At 35.3% G+C, this 24,631-nt stretch overlaps 1 protein-coding gene across 12 annotated transcripts in view, besides 1 other annotated feature; it reads right to left on the bottom strand.

The window, feature by feature from the left end:
• GRID2 (glutamate ionotropic receptor delta type subunit 2) overlaps positions 1-24,631 on the bottom strand; it is a 1,506,491-nt gene that overhangs the window by 652,547 nt on the left and 829,313 nt on the right. The window lies entirely within an intron of this gene.
• Positions 10,165-10,726: an enhancer, noted in NCBI's record as "OCT4-NANOG hESC enhancer chr4:94068335-94068896 (GRCh37/hg19 assembly coordinates)". NCBI's record gives its function as "activates a minimal SCP1, AML or CMV promoter by ChIP-STARR-seq in naive H9 embryonic stem cells {active_cell/tissue: H9 hESC(naive)}" and the evidence as "EXISTENCE:reporter gene assay evidence [ECO:0000049][PMID:30033119]".

Below are 24,631 nucleotides of genomic sequence, written 5' to 3'. Positions count from 1 at the left end.
TGAAATCTGATGGGACAATGAAACATGAATTTAAGCAAAGAAGATACGTATAATATGTATGCCTATCAGTCTTTCCTTGTTGCCTCATTATCATACAGCCTTTATGATGCCACATAAGCAGAATTCTGGTGTAGCGAGAGAGCATGAGAGTTCAGCAAGTCTCAAAGTGAGTACAGAAGAGTATTTGCATCTAAAAATGACAACATAGAAACAAAGGTAAGATAAGGTGAACATACTTCCTTTCCTTTCATTCATCCTTAGTAATCAGTAAAGCAAAAGAGTAGATAGTATTGATAGAACATGCATGTATCAGGAAATAAAGTAAAAACTAGTTTTGTGCAGCGTTTCTACTTTTCCAGTAAGAATGAAAGACATATGCATGTCGAAGCTATGAAATACAAATTGTATAATTTTGGTGATTCTGCAGGTGAGTTACATGCTCTCATATTTGCACTTAAAACTGATACTACACAATATAGTGTTGAATGATAAAATTAATAATATTTTAAAACTTAGATATTTTTATTTTAAAAACTACATTAAATAGGACATTCTAAAAAATCAAAGTAGAGGAAGAGATCGTGGAAGAAAGGAAAAGGTACCTTTTATTACCTTTCATGGCATATTTTTCCTGGTTTTGGAACTGGGGAGCCTACATTTTCAGGGTGTTTCGAGTCTCACAAATAATGTAGGCATCCCTGAGTATGAAGCAGGAATTTGAGTAGATAGGCTTAAGGTTGAAATCTACATTTTCTTCTTACTGAGAACACAACTACCAGGTACATGGGATCTGGATTCATTTGGTGACAAAATTTCACTTTAACAGAAGGGATTGAGTAAAATAAAAGAAAAATAGAGTGCAGGACACAGTCTCATTCTTTTGTTTGTGCTCTGTGATACTTTTCCCACTATTGACCAGGGGCTACTTTATATGATGCTTAATTGTGTCCACTTGAGTTTCTATTCCTCACCTCAGCTCAGAACTGATCCTTGATTTCCTTTTATTCAACAAACAAGAGTGACTGACTTTTCACTTCATACTTGCTTCCTGGATCATCTTGTCCACAGTTAGTCCTTTAAAAACCACCAATAGGCCGATAAGTTTCAAATCTGCCTAACCCACACTGGAACTCTCTCCTATGCTCTAAGTTCATACATTCAACTGTCTACTGGATCCCTCCCGTGCATCCCTTATATGTCCTTCAAGATGATTAGATCTAAATCAAAATCACTACCCACCCATTTCCACCCTTGCCAAAGTATCCATCTCTGTTTTTCTCATTTTCATTAATAAGTCTATTATATCCAGTCTTATTCTAGTAAGCCAGAATCCCAGGCTTATTCTCTCTTTCACCCTCCCCATCCAAACACCATGATCTGTCAACACTACATCTAAAGGGCCTGTGAATCTTCTTCTTTCTTTCTATCAGCTATGACATTTGAGCACGCCCATCTATTTGAACTGGATTATTGTTCCTTGTTCCTACTATTATGCCCCTCCAATCTATTCCAACACTATGCTGCCTGACAGATATTTCTAAAAAGCAAGATCATATAGTTCTCTTGCTAACAAAATCTTTTACTAATTTCTCACCAATTTCCAACACAAAGTCCATATCTTTAATTTTTCATATGTATTCAAGTAAGTCCTCTCTATTTTTCTTTTATTAAGAGGTAAATATAAAATGTGTTTTATTTATTTACTCTATAAACTCATATAACACTGTGTTCCAGGCACTGTTCCAAGTACTTCATACATATTTATTCATTCATAATCTTTAAAATTTTTAATTATTATGGGTATGTAACAGGTGAATATATTCATGGGATACATATGATATTCTGATACCGGCATACAATATGTAACAATCACATTGTGGTAATTGGGTATCCATCACCTCGAGCATTTATCGTTTCTTCGTGTTAGGAATATTCCAATTCTACTCTTTTAGATTTTTAAATATACAATGAATTATTGCTGGCCATATTCACCCTGTTGTGCTATCATATACTAGATCTTATTCATTCTATCTAACTTTATTTTTATATCCATTAACCATCACCACTACCCCCCATGCCCTCGCTACCCTTCCCAGCATTGGGTAACTGTCATTTTTCTCTCCTGTATTTTCCCCTACACTTCTCTATTGCCTGTCCCCTTTGTGTTTTATGCTCTGTCCACATGAAGTCATTTTGATTTTATAAACTTGCTTGCCCCTCCCTTCTCCATTATTTGTACATGTATCTCCAGTGTCTTTCCAGCTATCATCTTCCAGCCATGCTAATTCTTACGTCATCTTACTGGACTATTAGATAACCTGGATAAACTGTTGCCAAATAATTCAGTTTTACTGGATAAAGTGGCTTAGAGTATAGGAAATGTCGGCTTAGTTCAGAATTCATTACAATAAAATTTGTTAAGTGCAGTAATAGAGATGTTTATCAAATGACTTCCAGGGGAAAATAGGAGTCAAGACAGATTCCTAAAATGGTGACCTTAGAACTTAGTATAAAAGGATAAAATGGTGGCATCTGCAAGGCAGAAAAAAGATGTTGGGGAGGAGAAAAGGCCTTCTGTGCAGAGCAATAGAATATGCAGAGGCATGAAGATTTTTCAGAATGGCTAGAACATCCTCATGTGGTAGTGGGAATTAAGATATAACATGATTTCAAGGATATTTAGGAAGCAGAATTAAGAAAACTTGGTGAATAACTGAATGAAAGAAGAATAAAGAGAAGGTGAGATCATGAATATACAATTTCAAGTTTAGTCTAAAAGGAGGATCATCAGGCCAATCACTGAGACTGGGAATACACAGGTTATTTGAGAGAGCCGAATCCTAACCACTAGACCACCAAGGAGCCTCTATGTAGGTAATCTGAAAATATTAAATTGTAGGAACCCAGGCAAAGATGACCAATACAATGTTAAAATACTGAACTGAGAGTTTTGAGCAAAAAAATATAAATGTAAGGATCATCTAAAAATAGATATCAGGTGAACTGGATGAGAACCCTTACAGATAATTATAAAGTGAGAGAAGAAGGACAGAGAATGGGTTCCTAAGGAATACGAGTAGGCAGAATTGCAGTAGAGGAAAAGGGTTTTTTGTTGGTGGTGGTGGTGGTGGTGGTGTTTTTTTTGTTTGTTTGTTTTTGTTTTTGTTTTTTTGCCACGAATACAGAGAGAAGATAATGAGGTTTCTCAGAAAGTTCACAAATACTCATTAAATGCCTATTAACCACACCCCCTTGTTTCTTCAATCAGATACTTTTAAGATATTTCTTTACCTAGAAGAATTATTATATAAAAAATTATGTCTTACTTACTGTACATTGCACTAAGAGATTCATCTAGGCTTAGTAGATGATTTTAAATGACAAATATTGTTTAACGGTTTAGCCAAGCTATCCGGGAGTGGTATTCAAAATATTTAACCACTAGTGTGACAGCACCAACAAATCAGAAGAGATAAAGGCAAGGTTAGCCTATAAATTTCATGCTAAGAAGGAAAAGGATGTTTACACCAAACACTGTTCTTTTAGTTGTGGAATCAAGGAACTATGATCACAAAATCTTAGGTCTCTGGAAAGGTGTTAGGGTGGTGGTGGGGAGAAATACTGGAGGGTTTGAAGCTGCAGATATTTATGAACTGTTATGGTAATATTTCAATACTTTAACAACTAATGTAAGCAATGCTGGTGCATAGCAACTGAATATTGATCAGTCTGTAGAGCTGGTATCATTACTCCTGAGGGTGAATTTGTTCAATTATTATTTTCCTAAAACTTGTACCCTAATCAGTTGGTAACAATGAAGGAATAGAATTTTAATTAATAGGAGGAATAGCTGCTATAGAGGACACTTTTGCAGGGAATGGCAGTTTAGGGATCATTTGCTCACTATTTATTCAAAAATACCAAGTGTCTATTTTATGTCAGAGGTATACATACTAGTTCTAAAGATCTAAAGTACAACATTGTGCCTGTGGATAATAATACTATATTGTACATCTAAAAATCTGTTAAGAAGGTAGATCTCATGCTATGTGTTCTTACCAAAATAAAACCAACAACTTTGCGTCTGGAAGAATCTTAGGAGAACTAAATTCCAATTATTTCACATAAAATGAGAAAACTAAAATCAGTTATACATAAGAACTTATTAAGGAGAACCGGAATTCTCCAGGATGGCTCTTCCCTATGCATTGAGTCAGTAATTCACTTTCCTTCTAAACTGGGACACTACCACCTTCAACACATGACCACTGGATCTGTTGAAGGGAGAAAACTCATGCTATGTCCCGGCCTGGAATGAGCATATGACACTTTCATTCATAGCACATCGGCTAGAACTCAGCTGCCTCACTGCTACCTAACTCAGGAGATGCCAGGAAATATTATTCACCACCATGCTTAGGAAAAGGATGAAAAAGCTTTCTGACTAGCTAGTCTCTGCCACTTCTCTGATTGCAAGTGCGAGCCCTGGGCTTTTTTTCCTGTCCTCTGAGTACTGAAAGCCTGCAAAAATCAGTACTCAAATTACCTGATTTGGCAAATGCCCTCAAAATGAAAGTCCGATTCAATGCTCCATTTGACTTTGGCCAGGGTGTTTTTACCAGCTCATGGAAGTATTTCTGAAGATAGTTTCAAAAATGTACATAAAACTGTTAGTTATTTTAAGTGGAAGATCACTCCAGTTTCTTGGTGTATCATCTTATGTGAAATAGGAGGCCAGAATTTTGTATTTATTTTGTTAATTTTACCTCCAGTCTTTTTTGAGTCTTTGATTTCCACCTATCTAAATAGGTTAGACATAGATTACTATTCAAAGAATATTCAATCACTTTGGGGATCTATTTCCTAATTTCATATTTAGGCTTCCTTTGTTTTCATTAAAGTAACTTACAACAAATGTTAATAGGACATATCAGGACAAAATAACATTATTGGTCTTCCTCCAAGTAAACACTGATAAACATGGACAACCAGGTTGGTTGTTTTGAGCATGTTATTCTTTTTATCTTCATCAGGATTTTTTTAAACTATGCTTCCAAGGTAATATTTATAACTGCCGAACACCTTTGCACCATTTAATTCCTGGCCATAAATTATATCTTCCCTTTCTCTGAAATATCTAAAACATTTCCTAAACATCTGATTAGACTTTATTACTGCTAGCTTTGAAGTAACAGTTCATCTATCAGAATTAGCCATGCAAAGCAGTTCTTAATCTGTTACTATCACGGCTCATGACAATGAAGGGTTGGTATCAAACACCATTTGGTTCCAGAGTCTGGCTTGAAGCAGCAATAAATAGTTTAACAAACTTTAAATACACAATGAGCTAACATGCTAACCAGTATGTATCCACCTGTTCAATTTAAGCTGTGGTTAATTATAAATATTTTGTACTTCTTTGATTTCTAGTAAAATTATATCTCAAGCCTATTTCATCTCATGCTTTTCCTGGAAAAGCAATCATGTACTCTTTGTCTTCATGTTTTTAAATCAAGAGTAAACAACCACCTCTGCTTATCATTTTCAGATTGTTTTAAAGTAGGTTTCTCCCTTTTTATTCTTTTTGCCTTGCTTATTGTTTACTTTCTAGTTCACAAAGCAAAGTACCAAACCTGGTGAAGTCTACTTTAAAATTAGTAAACAAAGAATTAGATAGTCCATAAGGAAAATGCTTCGGTTTAATCTTTGAGATTTAAAATTACATTGTGAAGAGTTAATTATATTATTTTGTATGTATTTTTACTCTAACTCTGTAAGCTGAAACAAAGAAAATTTGATTGCTTTTCTGAAGTTCTTTGTGCCCTTCCTTGAATGTTCATTATTCCTTTCATACTTTGGAGATTAGTGTTTATCTATACACAGTATTTTACCACGTGAAACTAGAACAGGCAAAAATAAATTAAACAGCTTGCATTCTATATGAAGACTGCTTACATTGAGGCTGATTCATGTCTATTAAAATCTGATGCATACTTTATTAAATTTAAATTAAGAATTTCAGAACTCAACGACACATTTTTATTTTACTGTGCATCGAGACACACAAAACAAGTTCATTTAATGTGATTATTGGATTAAAATATCATCTTGAGAGATGAAAATCATTTTTTCTCCAGAAACAATATTGTGACCTGGCACTGTTGGCTTCAAAATAAAAAAGTGGTTTTCACATGTATTAGGAAAAGTGAGATGTCCCTTTATATTTTTAACAGTGGTATATTTCATATGACTCAGATTATGAAATTAAATGTTTATATCACTATTATTCTAATATTTTCTTCTATTCATAGTTTGTAAGTGTCACAGCTATAATATTTTGGATATTTTGCTTTAATCTATTTTTTGTTACCCTTATTAAGAACCAAGTCTGGCTGACTTTATCACATAGTTTTAATATAAAGAAGGCGGTGTCTAATTTCTGCCCTTATTGCTGGTTTGAAGTTTGAGCCTGTTGAAGGAGATGAGATTAAAGTTAAATGCCTTCATATTTCTCCTTTTGAGGTGCAATTCTGAGGTTAAGGGGATGGAAAAGGATGGGGAGGCAGATAGAAGCACCTGTTTTTAGTATGTGGGATTTTGAGATTTTCAAGTCACCCCTTCCAGGCATACCAGACCTCAGATGACAGCCTCCAGAAAAATCTCTACTCACATCTCTTTAACACCAAGAAAGGGATGGTGACACAGAAGGCAGGAATAGATATGAGCTGGAGGCAGTGCTTCTGTCTGACTGTATTTCTTTTCTTTTTTCTTTCTTTTTTTTTTTTTTTTGAGGAGTCTTACTCTGTCACCTAGGCTAGAGTGCAGTGGCTCAATCTTGGCTTACTGTAACCTCCGCATCCCACGTCCATTCTCCCGCCTCAGCCTCCCAAGTAGCTAGGATTACAGGTGTGCACCACCATGCCTGGCTAATTTTTTTGTATTTTTAGTAGAGATGGGGTTTCACCATGTTGGCCAGGCTGGTCTTGAACTCCTAACCTCAAGTGATCCTCCCACCTCAGCCTCCTAAAGTGCTGGGATTACAGGCGAGAGCCACCGCGCCCGACCTCTGACTGTATTTCTGTGGGTAATATTCAGGGGTTTGAGAGTTTCTACATGCCCTAGACCAGGATGCAAAGCTTCTGAGACAGCCAGAGGTCCAGGGTTCAGGACAAAGAGGCTACCACTTGCAGGGATTTCTCAAATAGGGACAAGGGAGCACAAATTTCAGAGAGGACACAGACACTAAGAAAAATGCAGATGGAACCAGCTGCATCTCTGTGGTCTTTACATGCAGAGCTGGCCAGAACAGGCTCTCTGGCCCAATAACTCTCCCCAGCTGCTGAAAGGGGTGAGTAAACTCATGCCCCTACTTGGTGTCCTCCTAAGGGTGCCAATGGGGGCACAGTGAGCACTTATAAGCAAAGAGACTATTTGGGCCAAACCAGATGTAATGGCAGATTTAAAGATACTCACACCCTATATTCTCCTTATTCCCGTGCTACCTGTTGTGTCCACACTATAATTATTGCCTGTGTTTTGTGTATTTATGTACAGTGTGAAATGTTTGTAATCCTATTAATATATAATAGATATAATGGTTAGGTTAAAGGTGTTCTGTACTAGAGCCTGATACTACATTCCTTTTAATAAAAGTAATCTTAAATTACCTCCTTAAATTTTCCACTCAAAACACTATACAACATTTAAATATGTACAACTAGACTCTCCCAGAAAATCTGAAACTCAGAATTAACTGTCACATTAACTGACCAGATGAGTTATTCAACTCTGGGGCAACTCTAGCTCTTAAAAAAATATTTTTCTAGCACTGAATTGAAACTTTCTTTTTTGGTAATTTTACTTGTAATCATAGTTTGCCCTCTGTCGAAGTGCAAAATTGACCAATGGATACTTCTCTTGATAAGATTTCAATATTTGAAGACTATCTTTGTGACTATCAAAGCTCTTCTTGGTGGTCGGGTACAGTGACCCACACCTGTAATCCCAGCCTACTGGGAGGTGGAGGCAGGAGGATCACTTGAAGCCAAGGAGTTCAAGACCGGCCTGGTCAACATAGTGAGACCTCATCTCTACAAGAAAATTAAAAAATTAGCCAGGTCGTGTTGCATGGACCTACAGTCCAAGCTACTCGGGAGGCTGAGGCAGGAGAATCATTTGAGCCTAGAAGTTCAAGGCTACTGTGAGTTATGATTGTGCCACCATACTCCAGCTTTGGTGACAGAATGAGACCCTGTCTCTAATAAATAAATACATAAATAAAAGCTTTTCTTGAAGCTAAACATCCAGGTTGTTACTTGTTTTTGTTTTTTTTTTTTGATGGAGTCTTGCTTTGTTGCACAGGCTAGAATGCAGTGGTGTGATCTTGGCTCACTGCAATCTCTGCATCCCGTATTCAAGCAATTCTCCTGCTTCAGCCTCCCAAGTAGCTGAGACTACAGGTGCGCTCCACCACACTTGGCTAATTTTTTTGTATTTTCACTAGAGACAACTTCTCACCATTTTGGCCAAGTTGGTCTCGAACTCCTGATCTCAAGTGACCCACCTGCCTCCGCCTCCCAAAGTGCTGGGATTATAGGCGTCAGCCACCCTGCCTGGCACCAGGTTGTTACTTATAAGACAATATTTGAATTCCTTGTTGTCCTAGGTTCCCTTGTGGCTGGTTAGCACCTGTGAGAGGAAAATGGAGATTTTGAATTTTATATGCATTGTTGATCCAGAAGTATTATATAAGCAGTGTTTGTATTTCAATGTATGCTTAGCAGCGTCACACGGGATCTGCTGCTGAGGGGTCACAAACTAGTGGCATAATTTCCTCAGGACTGTGTAGAATTGTTAGTCAACAGAATGGGGCCCTGAAAATAATGACTGTTTCCTCTATTTCTTACTGAAACATAAATTCATGATGCCATTTGCCTAAGCAAAAGATATGGGAACCAAACTTTCCTTTGTCATGAGATTACATGAAATCGATTTGTACTAGCAATGCTGAAATTCTTTTCCAAGAATCTAAATATATATAATGTTTCTATATTACTTGCTTTAGTCATGAAATATTTATTACATATCTACCACAATTAGGATATGCCCTAGGCACTAGACAAATAGCCATTAAAAACAGACAAAATCCCTGTCCTCACAGGGCTTCTATTCCAACACTGTAATGGAATTATAAGTAACTTTACTTATAACTGCAGATATTTATGAATAAAACTAGCCTATTTATACATGTTATTATTACGTGAATAAACATATTTAAACTAATACCTCCTTGTGCATTTTAAACAATCCTCACTTAAGTCATGCTTCAATAAATATACTTAATTTGGAGATATATTAATATGCTATAATTGAGAATACAGAATTTACTGCCATAAAATACATAAAGAAGAATTAGGTTTTGAAGTTAATTATTATATATAAAGCATTTTGAATCCCTTCTTTTCCTTCACGCAAGGTCTCTTCTATTTTTATTTCATGATCAGATTATTTTTGTCTTCTATGTATGGGCTATGTTCTGCCACTCTAAATAATGATACTAATATATAAGATTTATACTAAGGTCTCAGTGTATGAGTGTTATTGGTGTGCCATTTATGAAGTTGGCAGTAGTGTTATTTCTACTTTGCATTTGAGAAAACATATTTAGAAAAGTTAACTCACTTATTCAGAGGCATATGGCAGATGTCAGCTGGGTTTTAATCATGGTCAGTGTCATTTAAGCATTAGGCATTAAACAATTACACTCCTTAACTTTGTACGCTGCCTGGTATGCCACACATCATGGCTTCTATCCTTCCATATTATTCAATTTTGTCACAAACAAAAGATAGCAACCACTTATTCATTCAGGTAACACCTGTGAAGCACTTGCTATGTACCAGGCATTTTCAAAATGCTAGTAATGCATCCTGTAGTGAACCAAATTTACATAATCCTTCTATAGAGAAATCCAGTTTCCTGGATTCCTGTCTTTAGGAAGCTATAATTAACATTTGTAAGTACAACTCAATAAACATTTAAAAGTAAAACATTTTAAAATGATGTTTCAAGGCAAAATATAAATACCTTCCCAGTGTTTCAGATCATAAGGAGTGTAAATAGTAAAGGGTTAAGTACTTATTTAATGTCTTAGAAAAGAGCACTGGAGTAGAATGGAAATAAGATCCTATAGAGAAGACAATAAATCTGTCTTTTTTCTTTCCTCCCTTTCATCAGGGCCACCTCCCCTTCTGTTCTGCTGTTGGTGGTGAAGCCTGGAGCAATCAGCTAATGGCTCACAGCATGAAGCAAGCAGCCTTAATGTCCTCTCTTCCCTCCTCACACATCCTAGAAGCAGTACTTCAAGAAGTGATCAGCATTGTGTCACATTTCTAGTTTCACTATTTCTGTTTTTCCATGAGTATTAAATTTCAAAAAAAAGTACATTTTCTTTTCCAAAGTTTGAAATTAAAAGGATTGCTTTGAGATTATATTTAATCTGAGTACACATTTTTCTCATACAAAGTGTCAAGTATCATGTAGGTCAAAGAGAAAATATTTGATCATCCATTAGTAATTTTTCTAGAATGGTAGGCATTAAGACTACAACTCACTTGTTGATTTTTTTCCCTGCAAATAAGAAGTATAGGATTTTTGTTTGTTTTTTGATTCTCTCTGCTGCACTGATAACACTGTAGGTTTGAATATAAATGCCTGTAACCTTTGACTACTTTTACTTAAAAGTCTATTCTTTATTCTAAGATTGGTATTCAAAATTACTGAAAAAATTCCACTTGATCTCTTATAAGTACGTTAAAAAATTCATCAAATTTCATTACAGTAAAATGTTAAACCAAAAAATATGGCATAGACCTTTACGGAATACATTTGTATTCAATCTCATTATATTTTCAATCATTCTACATTCAAAAACAAGTTTCCCTTCTTTTCAGTTTAGAAAATTATGTAAGAATAAGGAAGTAAAATACTTAGCTGCATTCCCAATACCCAGATTAGAAACTAGCATATGGTAAATACTCAATATTTTTTAAGTGAGCAAATAAATGAGTTAAAAGCCACAAATGAAACATATTGAATGATGTCTAGTTAATCCCAATGAAAAGCATAGTAGCTGAACAAGCATTACAAAACATTTTATTTACACACTAAGTGCACAATATTTATAAGTATAAGATTTTTTTTTTTTTAAATCACTTAGGTACCTGTAGTGGCTCTTTCCTTTAACAACCTCTCCCTTCCCTCTTCTTTCCTTCTTTCTTTCTCTCTTTCTCTCTCTCTCTCTCCTCCTTTCTCTCTTCACATGCAAGTGCACTCACACAGAGAATCCAGAAAGACTCTTCAGATGCATTATCACTCTTTGTGCACATGGGTCCATTGAATTTGAACGTAAATTCCATTTTAAGAAGATCACACATGAAAAGCTTTCATTCCTCAAAGAATTTCCAAGTACCATGCATGATATTTTTCAAAGACTGGGTTTACATTAGAGCTTACAGGATGCGCTTTCATCATTGACTCAATTTTTATCAAAATTGAATTGCCCTCTTAACTTTATTTTCAAATCCCTTGATTTAAATTCTATACCAAATGAAAGTCCAAATACACTGCCAAATAGAATTAACTCTCGATGTCACTATTAGTTCAAATATAACTTCATGAATAAAATTAGTCTGCAATTAATTACAAGAATATAAATATGCGGTTGGGTTTTAGGTGGTTTCCCTGACATAGGGGAAATGTGGAATTAAAATATTTAGTCTTAGGCCTTCTACATAATTCATACTATTCCTGGAGCTGAGTGAATTATCTTTCAAGGGTGATTTAATCTAATTTAAAAATTGAACAAATTTTGAACTGGGAATTTGCTTGCAGTTTTCAAAGATATTGTGTATATATATACCTTTGTCTATTTTAAGCATTGAGGGAAAAGAGGAGGGGCAAAAACTAGAGAGAATATAATTACATAACTGCATGACATTCGATCATCACTACAGACTATAAAGTGTGTGTGTGTGTGTGTGTGTATGTGTGTGTGTGCATGCACAAATTTGGGGCATGAAAACCCTGTGAATCATCCATTAAGAGTAGACCAGGTGCTGTGGGCTGTGGTTCACACCTGTAATCACACAATTTTGAGAGGTCCAGGCGGCCAGTTCACTTGAGGTCAGGAGTTCGAGACAAGCCTGGCCAACATGGTGAAACGCCATCTCTACTAAAAAAAAAAAAAAAAAAAAAAAAAAAAAAAGGAAAAAAGAAATACAAAACTAGCTGGGTGGGGTGTCAGGCACCTGTAATTCCAGCTACTCAGGAGGCTGAGGCTGGAGAACTTGAACTTGGGAGATGGAGGTTGCAGTGAGCTCAGATCACACCATTGCAATCCAGCTTGGGTGACAAGAGTGAAACTGTCTCAAAAAAAAATAAATAAATAAATAAATACAAATACAAATAAATAAATAAAAAATAATTAAAATGAAAACAAATTAAGAGTTCAACTACTACAATGTCTGTTTTCTTTTTTTCTTCCCTCCTTCATTTATCTAGTCAAAAAAATAATTACTGAATACCTAGTATGTGTTAGACACTGCTCTACGTGCTAGAAACATAGTAGTAAAAAGCAGGCAAAAATTCCCTTCGTAACAGAGTTTTCATTGTAGTGGTTGGAGGGAAAGATAATTAACAAATAAGTAACTAAAATATATGGTGCAACATGCTGTGATAAGCGCTACAAAGTGTGGGTGATCAGAGATGGGTCTCTCTGAGACTGCAACTTTTAAGACCTGAATAGCAAGAAGGAGCCAGCCAGGTAAAAACTAAAATAAAAAGCATTCTGGGAAGAGAAAACGGCTATTGTAATGTCCATATGTGAGAAACAAGCTTGGTATGATCAAGGAACAGAAATCAGGTCGGTAAAGGTAAAGGTAGATGGTTTTGTTTTGGCCTGTGGTTCAGATTTTAAGGCTCATCCACAAAGATCCCACTGTTCCCTGATACTTTGTCTTTGCCCTTGTCTCTGCAAGCAGATGATTAATGTTGCTTTTTATGGGTACTCCAGCAAATGTATCATTTTGGACTTTTATTGGGCACAAAGCACAGAAAGTACACCATTTCAGTCTCCAGTATTTTGATGAAGAAATATTGTTGTTTAAGCAACAGAAGCCATTTATTTTTAAATATTAAAACTATGAAGAAACCCTGGTTCTGACCTGATTTGGTGATTATCCTGTCATTTATGTTTTGCTTCTGGGCTTTTTATGACTTTGGGCTATTTCTGACTTATTCAAGTACTTAGATTTCAAGGGCTAATTCCTACACATGAAAATTCTCACCCCTTACTAGGAACCACAGGTTGTGCCTGGCTCTCCTGAATCACAGTGCATCTCTCCCACCTGCTTTGTAGAGCCAAAGGCCCTTATGGACTGCAGTTATTTCTATTCTTTGTTAAGCACAGGATTTGGTGTCAGAAAAGCCTCAGCTTAAAAACTAGCTCTGATGCTTTTCAATTTTGTGATCTTGGGCAATTTGTCTAACCTCTTTGAGCTTCAGTTTTCTCCTTAAAAATAATCACAACACATAATGAGCTTATGCACATAAAGAATTTAGCAAACTGACAAGTAACAGGACAGCACTTAGTTTGTGTTGGCTGCTACTGTCATCTTCATCAGCTTCATCTCCATCATCTTGAGTCTCTTTTATTTAAAATAGTTGTTCGCAAAGTGTGGTCCCTAGACCAGCAATATGAGCACCTCCTGGCAACTTGTTAGAAATGTAAATTATCTGGCATGACTGAATGAGAAACTGGGGTGCGGCCCAGAAATCCATGTTTTGCCCAACCCTCCAAGTAATTCAGATGCATGCTAATTTTGCATTAGAGGAAATGTATTACATTATAACGTTTGTCTTTAGTTGTTCATAATTACATTCCTAAGAACTGTGCTGGAGTGAGTGGCTTAGAAATTTGTAATGTCCTTTAAGAAAAACTTCTTAAAATCTATATAGAAAAAAAAATCACTTAGAACATGGCTCATATGCAATGCAAATAAAAGATAGGCAAACGAAATGTATTTTGCTCCCCTCACAGATATCTATGTTGTGTTTAGATGTTAGAATAATCCTCTGAAAACTCTTAGAGCAGTCAAGGTAGGTCATAATTGCTCCTAGAAAGTCTTCATACTTGTTTCAAGTCTTAAATAAATGAAAATTTAGTCATTAAATAAAACAGTTGAGTTTAATGATATATGTGATTTTTTTATAAATTAAGAAGTTAGATATACTATTCTAAAGTGGAATGTAATAGTGTAATAATCAATCTTATACCAAATTTTCACCTTCATCAAAATTCAAACTTCTTGGCTGAAGAAGCAACTAAGATTTACATGCACATGCAACATGGTAGGAAACTTCTTTTCTACAATTTTATTGAATATGTATAGTTTTATCTCCTTTATTCCATGCCATATTGGCCTCCTATATAAAGATGATAACATAAGTGGCATCAACAGAGCATATTCATATTCAGGACTGTCACTAGGATGGTTTGATTTTCATGGAAACTGTTATATTTATGAAATAATTAACAAGGAACATGGTGATTAAGAGTAAAATATTTGGTTGTAATGCAAAATAATTTAATCTAAGTAGTGTGTCCTTAAGTCCTGTTTCAACAAGTGGTTTTAACATATATTTATAGTTGCAGAACATTTTTTTCTAATGCAATCTGATAAGAAAATATATAGAATTAATTCAGCTAATATTTTCTTAGATAAACTTCTACAGCAAAAGGCAGATTTGCTTACTGCCTCCTTCTGGGGCAAGACATGGGATTTCTTGCAGCCTATTATAAAAGATTTGAGTTTCCTAATCACAGATTTCTCAACTGTGTTGCAAACCTATTGTGTATCCATTTGGGTCCTCCACCCTGTCTCTTGTGTGACCTGGGAAATATGTGAAACCAACGTGAATGCTGATACTATGGATGCTGCCACTGCTATGAAAAATAAAATTCTCTCTCTCCAGCCTAGGAGACGTATGTCTTCTTCCTTTGTTTATTAAACAGTATCCAGCAAACTTTTCAGCTTGCACATTGAACCTTCACAGTTCTTGATACACATGTGGCAACCACAGTCGTTGTTTAGAAACCTCACGGTCCTTTCAGTCTGTTTCTTTATTCTGACGTGGTTGAATAGCATGAAAAATAAGTCTTGTTTATGCAAGTACATATCGACCAGAAATGACTGTGTTATAATTGTTACCTTGGCAATTAAAAATAACTTTCTATGATCTGAGGGTTTGTGTCATCTCCAATTCCTATGGTGAAATTCTAACCCTCTAGGTGATAATATTAGGAGACAGAAACTTTGGAAGGTTATTACATCATGAGGGTAGATGCCTCATTATTTGGTGTAGTGTACTTATAAGAGAGACTCCAGAGAACTTGTTCACCCCGTCTGCCATATGAGGTGACAGCAAAAAGATGACCACTGAGGAAGCAGGGCCTCACCAGACACCATTTCTTCCAGCACCTTGATCTTGGACCTCCTAGCATCCATAAATGAGAGAAATAAACTTCTGTTGTTTATAAGCTGGGCACTTCATGATAGCAGCCCAGATAGATTAATACATCTCTCAATGAAACAATAGGGAAAATTAAAAGAGAAGTAGGTTTTTTGTTTGTTTGTTTGAGATAGGGTCCCGCTCCATCAACCAGGCTGTAGTGCAGTGGCACCATCTTGGCTCACTGCAATCTCCACCTCCAAGCTCAAGCCATCCTCATGCCTCAGCCTCCTGGGTGGCTGAGACCACAGGCACACACCACCATGCTCAGCTAATTTTTGTATTTTTGTAGAGATAAGTTTTTGCTATGTTTCCCAGGCTGGTCTGGCTGCCCACAGTGCTGGGATTACAGGCATAAGCCAGCACACTGCAGCCACAGTATTTTGTTTTAAATATTAAACCACAAGTGGTACTATTTGTACAGATTTTCCAACTGTCCAAATCCCTTGTTATGTGTAGGAAAGTCAAACAAGATCACCAGAAACTTGTAATAAGCACAAACAATATTCATGCTATAGCACAATGCTACAAAAAAACCTGTTAAATCCCTATTGCACAATTTTCTGTTATGACAGGAGCTTTCACAAGCCATGTTCCAAAGCTAAAACTATCAGTAATTTAAATGTGTCCAGTGTCAGGTAAAAATGTATTTCCTCAGATAAATAGATCCAGACTATAAGTTAGTTTGTTTTAATCAATCTTAAATGAACTTGGCAGCTCTCTGTAGTGGTTATAAATTTTTGTAATCATTTCAACACATAATTTAAAGACTTTTTTTTTCAAAAGCTTTAAAGAATACCCTGTATACCTTAGTTTTCTATTTTAAGTATACAGACATCATTGCTTTTGTTTCTTCTTTCATGATGATATCTCAGAGGCTTGAAACTGAATGCTGGGTCTTACTTCCTCACTTTTTGAGTCAAGGTAACTGCCAGGATATCAGGATCTAGGATCCACTTTATCAAGCTTCCAGGTTATAGCACAAAACTAAACTTATTTGGTTTAGGAGTAGCTCATATGCAATTTGTTTAAATAAATCTTATCTCAAGGTTAAACAAGGGAGAAAGACTACATATGTAATTTTAAATCTAAAATCAGCCTCAGATACCTATTAATTAAACACAATGGAAAATAAAACTAAAATATATAATGATAAGAAATAATAACACAAAATAAATAGAACTACAAAATAGTAATAAATAACAGAAACATATCAATATAGTAACCTGAATATAAAACAAAACTTTATATTAAAATAAACTGAATTATGGAAAATGGGAAAACTTAAATGCATTTTCTCCAGCAGAAGTACTGAAACTTTGTAGATAAAGAAGGCAGACAGTTCTCCAGAGACTAAAACAGTTTGTCAAAATGTGACATGGATATAATCTTATATTTGAGGTGAGGTTTTTCTGTGACCTTACTGAAACATATGACATCTCAAGGATAGGAATGAGATCCAGTGCAAAAACAGCATTACCTTAATATTTTCTAACATGTCTAGCCATTAAGTTTTATGTATTCTGGGAACCTAGAGCATAATACTGCTGTATTTATGTGAAATGTATTGATTGGCATAGACCTTTCAATATTTTGAAATTTGCTTAACATGCTACAAAGTTAGTATCAGAGAAGACATATTTTATAACACTAAGTTAAGGTGACTATACAAATTTCTATCATATTTATTGTCACTGTATCCTTGACTTATTTGTAATGTATCAGTAACATTTCTAATGGCAACTTCAGAATTTCTATGTCAGAGGGTACGTGAGGTAAGGGGTACTGTATACATTGGAGGAATAGATGAAGTTGTATTTTTATTGCATTTACATAAAATTGAGCAAATGCCAACTGTCCATAAAAAAATGACACGGATTCCAGCCGGGCGCGGTGGCTCACGCCTGTAATCCCAGCACTTTGGGAGGCCTAGGCAGGCGGATCAGGAGGTCAGGAGAAAGAGACCATCCGGGCTAACACGGTGAAACCCCGTCTCTACTAAAAATACAAAAAATTAGCCAGGCGTAGTGGTGGGCGCCTGTAGTCCCAGCTACTCAGGAGGCTGAGGCAGGAGAATGGCGTGAACCCGGGAGGCGTAGCTTGCAGTGAGCGGTGGTCCTGCCACTGCACTCGAGCCTGGGTGACAGAGTGAGACTCAGTCTCAAAAAAAAAAAAAAAAGAAAAGAAAAGAAAGAAAATGATATGGTTTCCAATGGAGATTAAGGGATGGCAGAGACGATCAAACCCTTACTTGGCACATCCAAGATACTTTTTTTGTAACTTCTGTTTCATATTTTTTGTTTGCATATATCTATTTCAAGTTTATACTTTATTAGAGAGCAACGGCATGTTGCTTGGTTTTCTTCCTTTATATGCTATGTGCAATTACTTAGAATATTGTTACAAACATTCTTGATCACCCCAAGAAGGATCCAGACATATTTTATATACTTTCATTTTCATAACATTAACTGTTTCTCATAATGTTTAGTTTCCCATTATATAATTGAGTTGTACAATTTTATCTTCTGCAAGTAACTACAATAATTTACAGCTATGTGTGTCTGTGTGTGAATGTGTGTGTGTGTGTGTGTGTGTGTGTGTTTCAAAAGTACAGTCTAGGGCCTCAGTGAAATAAAAGACAATATTTGATGCTGATTTAAGTTTATTGGAATGGAAGGGTAAGGGAAAAGTCTTCCGGGGGCCTTAGGACGTGGTGTGCTCTAGAAAGACACAGACCAAGAAAAGGTGATTACGATAAAACACAAGTGTTATAATAGGACAGTATGGACTATGGAAAAGCAAAGGAGGAAGTTTCTAACTAGACTTGGGGAGAATCTAAAACAGATTTGTTTTAGGAAACTTTCTATTAGCTCTCCAGATCTACCTCCATCATCCCCCCTGGTTTCCTGACCTGGCAGATTATGTGGGCCCTATGGAAGCCTCTGACTTCAGGAGGTTCAGCCAATGGGGAGAATAATGTGTTCAGTGTATTGATTCCCCTGGCCCTCTGCCTGCAAATTTGCTATGTCCTGTGGTCACTGATCCTCTCCAGTCAGCCTTTACTACAGAGCTGTCTTTCCTTCTGGTTTCAGATAACCACTGTCTCCCCTCACCCCTCTGGGTTTAGGATTGTAATAGCTCTTACTTTTTGTGTTAACCTAGATAATTGCATTAACATTCATGTCTTACTTACACCCTGCCCAAACTTTTGTAAACAGATTCACTGTGGTATACTCTTCTTGAGATACTGTAATTTGAGTGTGAAATCTGTTTTTGATTGGAGCCTGATTTATACAACCTGAGTCTTGAAGGATAAATAGGAAAGCAGAGAATCTCTCAGAGAACTATAAAATGTTTAGAGTAAATGAAAGAATAGCAGGAGATGAAAGTAGAAAGGACTTGTATGCCACTCTGAGGAGTACGGAGATGACCATAAAGATGATAAACAACTGTGACCCGATTTCAGGTAAAGGAGTGATCTAATCTTACTTGCATTTTAGAAAGATTCTTTGGACATTATTTAGGAAGGAGTTTTGAAGGGAAGTTAGACTTCAGCAGTTAGCAACCTAAAGTAACAAGCCACACAAAAGAAACTTGGGACTCACAAATACTTTAAGAAAGCTGTTGGCAATGGCAATAGAGATAGGAAGAGAACTGTGAGAACAGTGAAGTTGTGTGAGGCATGAGAAAAGGTGATTATCGGTTGTCTGGCCTGAAAAATTGAATGACTGGAGGTGTAATTAACTGAGGGAGTAGTTACAGCAGTATCTGAAGACAAGATTCAATGAGTCAATTTGACAATAGGAAGTCAGGGTAGCAATTAGATTAGGGTATAAGAGGCAAATTCATGTATTAAATATTTTGGCTGGATATGCTGTAATGGGGCAATACAGAGATTTAATGAAGCTTTAGTGGTACAAACATAAGTAGTAAACATAAGTAATAGAGCACAAGGGGCATAATATAAGCATGTAGCCATAATATTCTTAGGTGTGTAGATTACAACATAAATATGGTACAAAAACAAACTCAAATACCTATACTAAATTAAGAAAAAAATTCAGCTGAGTGCCTTGGCTCACACTTGTAATCCCAATACTTTGGGAGGCCGAGACAGGTGGATCACTGGAGCTCAGGAGTTCAAGACCAGCCTGGGCAACATGGTAAAACCCCATCTCTACCAAAAATACAAAAAACTTAGCAGGGCATGATGATATACACCTGTAGCCTCAGTTACTTGGGGGGCTCAGGTAAGAGGATGGTTTGAGCACGGGAGGTGGAAGTTGCAATAAGCCAAGATTGCACCACTGCACTCCATCCCGGGTGACAGAGCTAGGCCCTATCTCAAAAAAAAAAAAAAAAAAAAAAAACGAAGAAAAAATTCTTGCTAGACTTTTATGTTCAAAATCAAAAAGCTCAACTTCATGTGAATTACAAAATACATGAAGAGTTTCTGAAAGAACACTTAATTTCCTAATTATAATAAATTTGTGTTTTAATTTTGGAAACATCACTCTTGAGGTAGATAAATGTAAAATATAGTGGTCCCACATGTTTTGATTTCATGATAAAATGTTACAGAAGATGATATAATTAAAACATCCCCCATGATATTTTCAGTTTCATGGAGATGAAACTCATTTGTTTCACGTACAATATACTTTATATCCATTAATATTAAAGCAGTACAAGATAGCCTAAATTGCATGTCCTATTGCCATCTCAAACCACATACAAGGTTCATTTGTGCATCCTTGTACCTTTTATTTCTATCTTGAAATCCTCTTTCTGTTTACTTGCTTCACTAAATAGATATGACATTGCTTGTCACCTGCTTAGATGATATTGACAGAGCTGTCCTATAGGTTCCTTCTAGGCCTAAAATATTAGGTCCTTGTGATATATTTGTGTCATCTCAAGCAGCAGTCGTATAAAATGGAAGATTGCTTAATATAAAATGCAAATTTCTCAAGGGCAAGGCATCATCCTGCATAGTAATCATAATAATGCCTATAAAAATTATTCAAATATTTATTTGATTTTATGTTGCATTAATTTTTTCCCCAGAAGTTCAATGGATAAATAAACTCAAGCTGAGGTTTTGCTATAACCATCTGCTTAAGATGAGCAAACTGCAAAATATTGATTTCCTACTGAAATTTGAGAAGGGTTAAGCATGACTTGGCGAATATCAACTGGCTACAAGAGTAACAGTTATAAGCTTAATTTCATCATTTAGAATTTTAAACTACTGACATACAGTCCAAGATTTTAAACAATTATATATTTTGTTTTCTCTATATGTACTTACACTTCTATATTAATTTTTGTCTGCCATAATCAACAACTTTAGATTATAAACTATGCAATAGAAGAGGCCACATTTTTCTTGCTTATGAATATATTCTTAAAGGAAAGCAAGAGTTTAATATTTTTGGTAACAAGATGAAATAAGTTACCTTGCCTTTAAGATTTGGATAGTATTTTATACCCTACTGATCATTGTTCCTTTTATCTCCCTGATGTCTTGGTCAGTTGTGGAATCACCTTAAATCACAAATTTAAGTCGTATTCACTTAGTACTATAGTTGATTCTAAACAATAAAGTATCTTTAAAGAGATAAATTTGCCTCAACCACAGATTCTTCTATTGTTTCTCCTTTAGAATTCATTTTCTCCTACATATATAATGGATATATAACATTTATATACAATTTATTGAAATTATTTTTATGTAAGATAATAAACAAGACTGGTCAGTATTTACACTATATGCTAACATTTTCAGTGATTCCTTTTCATTGAAAGTTTTAAACTTAAAGGTTAAATGAAATGAATGTGGCAGTATGACATTTTCATCTCATTGATCTTCAGGATTGTCATGTCATCCAGCTGCCTCGGAAGGCTCTCTTTCTTTTGGATATATGTTCCTCAGAAGCTTTGGCCACATTTTCAGTCAAAGAATAACAGTATCACTACTAGAAAGTCCACTGTCTTACCATTAAAGCAAGGACTTATTAAAAATATCCAAGAGGTTAGCATTCTTAGGATAATTAAACACACACACACACACACACACACACACACACACACACACACACACAATAACTGTTGGAATTTTTAACACAGGATAGTTTAGCAGATACAAGAACAGCCTGCGGAGGCAGATTGCCTGAGTTAAAAATCTGTGGTGTGACGTTGGAAAGGCTATACAACCGCCTGGACATTAGCTTATTTATCTATACAATGGGCATAATAATAGTAAAGTAATTATCCTGTGGGGTTATTATGATGTTTAAATGAACCTGTAATTAATTTGAATAGTGGCATATAGTTTGTATTACAAGATTGTTAAATTTTTACAAAATGGATAAAATGATGGAAATTTTAGCATACCACACAGTTTATAAAAAGCAGTGGTAAGTTCATTGTCATTTGATCCACATATAATAAGTATTTTGTTGTTATTGTTGGCAGGATTTTGATATAAGAATAAAATCAAAACACCATCATGACTTCTTTCTGAAATTCACATCCTAAAATTGATAAGGTAACTCTTCTTGGTTTTCTACTGAAATAAAAACAAAACAAAATATTTTCCTGATGCCACTGTACAAAAATAGGACTAGGGCTTAGTTTATTTTCAAACTCAGATCATATCTTTCAAAGTAAATGCTCCAGCCAAACAAACAATAGCAACATCTGCTCATATTGATGAAAACTTTGGACCAGTTGGGAGCCTTTATTAATTTTCAACTAGAAAGCAGATCATACAGTAGAGGAAGGACACAAACAGTCATAGCAGTCATTAGCATATTAATACATTACAAAATCCCAATTTGGGAAAGATATTTTTAAAAAGTGAAAAAGTATTATCTTGTATAACTATCAAATGGCACACACGGAAGCTTTCTCAATCATTTCTTAATCTTGGCCACCAACAACTGAAAACAACAAAAACTTAGTGCTCAATGGAGGATACACATTCAGCTGCTCCCTAATAATTGTTTTCAAAATAGAATCTCTTTGTAGTAGAAGACTCTGAAAATGTCAGAGCTGATTGCAAACAAGCACCACACACCTCACAGGAGACTGAACCCAAAGCCTCCTATTGTTCAGGAATATTAAAAGCAGTTGTTTTAAGACTTCACCGAACATTTTACTAATGTGTTATTAAATCAAATCTGTTTGCACATCATTATCTAACTAGGTCAAGTGAATACAAAAAGATAATTGTTTAAAACTAATGCAAACCACTTAAATACCTTCTTTAGTTTATGAAAGTAAATACATCACTTGAATGTATGATTGCACAGTAAACCCCCACTTTAGATATTACTTTTCATTATCATAAATATAGGAAAGCTGAATTAGCTTTTATTTTCAGAGAGAGCACGGTGAAACTCAGTAAAGGGTAATTTAATAGGCAAGTTTCAATACGCCAAACAGCGAGGGGCAACGAGGCATACATTTCTCTCTTATTTTACAGCAAAGCAATAACCCAGTATTGCTTCTTATAGCCACTGGGTAGAATTGGTGAAGGGACCTCTACTACCCAACTTCCTTCATTTTGTTCTGCAAAAAATATATTCCTGATTCAATATTATCATTATAAGCTACTGCAAGTTGCTAAAAAATCAAATTTTAATTTTCATTAAAATGCCTTAATAGTGGCTGAGAATATTTGCATAAAGGTAAAAAAAAATGATGTTCATTATGTTCATAAAACTGAGCATAGCACTTTTGTGAAAACACCACAGAAATTCAATTTAAACTCAAAGAGAAAAATTTAAAACAGAATTTTGATATCCAGCAAGTTTTCTTTAAAGAGGTTTCATGTTGTGATAGTTATTACCTTAGTGAATTCACCACCATCCAAGGTCAGGCCATTAGGACTGTAGACTCAGAAAATTGCTATTAGGAGAACACTAAGCACCATCCCATTACTCAGTTCAGATTCACATTTACAAAATTCAGATCGCAATTCAAAGCCATGGTACAAATTTCTTCATTTTCAGTGAGATTTGTAAGTCTTTCATATATACTGAAATATGACTAACTTATTTTCTAAACAATATTCATCTGACCCACTTATTCTTTCTCCACAGTAGACCTATATGGAAGCCAATTAAAATCAGAAGGTTTTTGGAGAACCTAAATCAGAACAGGGGCATTAGATGACCCACATTTTCAATGACTTCCAGCCTAAGAAGTCCTAATGTGGCCTTTCAATGACATATATTGAAAGGCATTTCTGTCTTAGAATGTGTTTAACTGGGAGATGAGTTAGGAGGCTAATGCATTAATCCTGCATTAGATGCTAATTAAAATTACATTTTATTCACCCTAAAAGTGAGACTATGCATTCTTCTTTTTCAGTTGCTATGTGAAGCAAATGGAATTCTACTTTTCTATTTGCCTAAATATTCCTTAACCTTTACTTTGAACAACAGCTTGCCACATCATTATAGAAGATCAAGAATTAAACTGAAATACAGTCTTTGACAGTTTGTATTTTGACAGGTAAAGCTTTGGCATTCTTTTTTCTCCATTTATAGGAGCATGTTCCTAAGGCTTTCTTCACCCGTGCATAGCTTTCTGTTGGTAATTAGGGGAAATAGGACACAACTGCCATGTTGTGCAATGCTGTACAATGTGCCCAGCATCTGCCTAGGAAAGAAATTCTGAAGTTACAGAAAAAAAAATCCATTTAAATCTTCATCTTAATTCATGGCAATAGTGAGATAATTGAAAGTCATAGTAATTTTTTCCCAAAGTGCATTCTCAAAACATATAGCTCAAATTCAATCTTAAACAGATTAGTTAATGAAGTCTTTATTATGTACCAAATTACAGGATTCATCTTTCCAACTTAAAAAAGTAAGATAGTAATGAGTTCAACAAAGGTGAAAGTGGACATTTAGAAACATAGCACAAAACTATGCAGTTTCTTAAACTCAAATTAAAGCTCAAAACTATTTCTGAAGAGCAGTGTTATCAAAATGATTGAAAAGACACTTGGGAAAAACCAAACCTATGTATCAGGAATAAAAGATAT

This window comes from Homo sapiens, chromosome 4 (assembly GCF_000001405.40).
Source record: "Homo sapiens chromosome 4, GRCh38.p14 Primary Assembly".
Lineage (NCBI taxonomy): Eukaryota > Metazoa > Chordata > Mammalia > Primates > Hominidae > Homo > Homo sapiens.
Note: the sequence above shows the minus strand (reverse complement) of the source record. Positions and strands in the feature narration are given on the sequence as shown.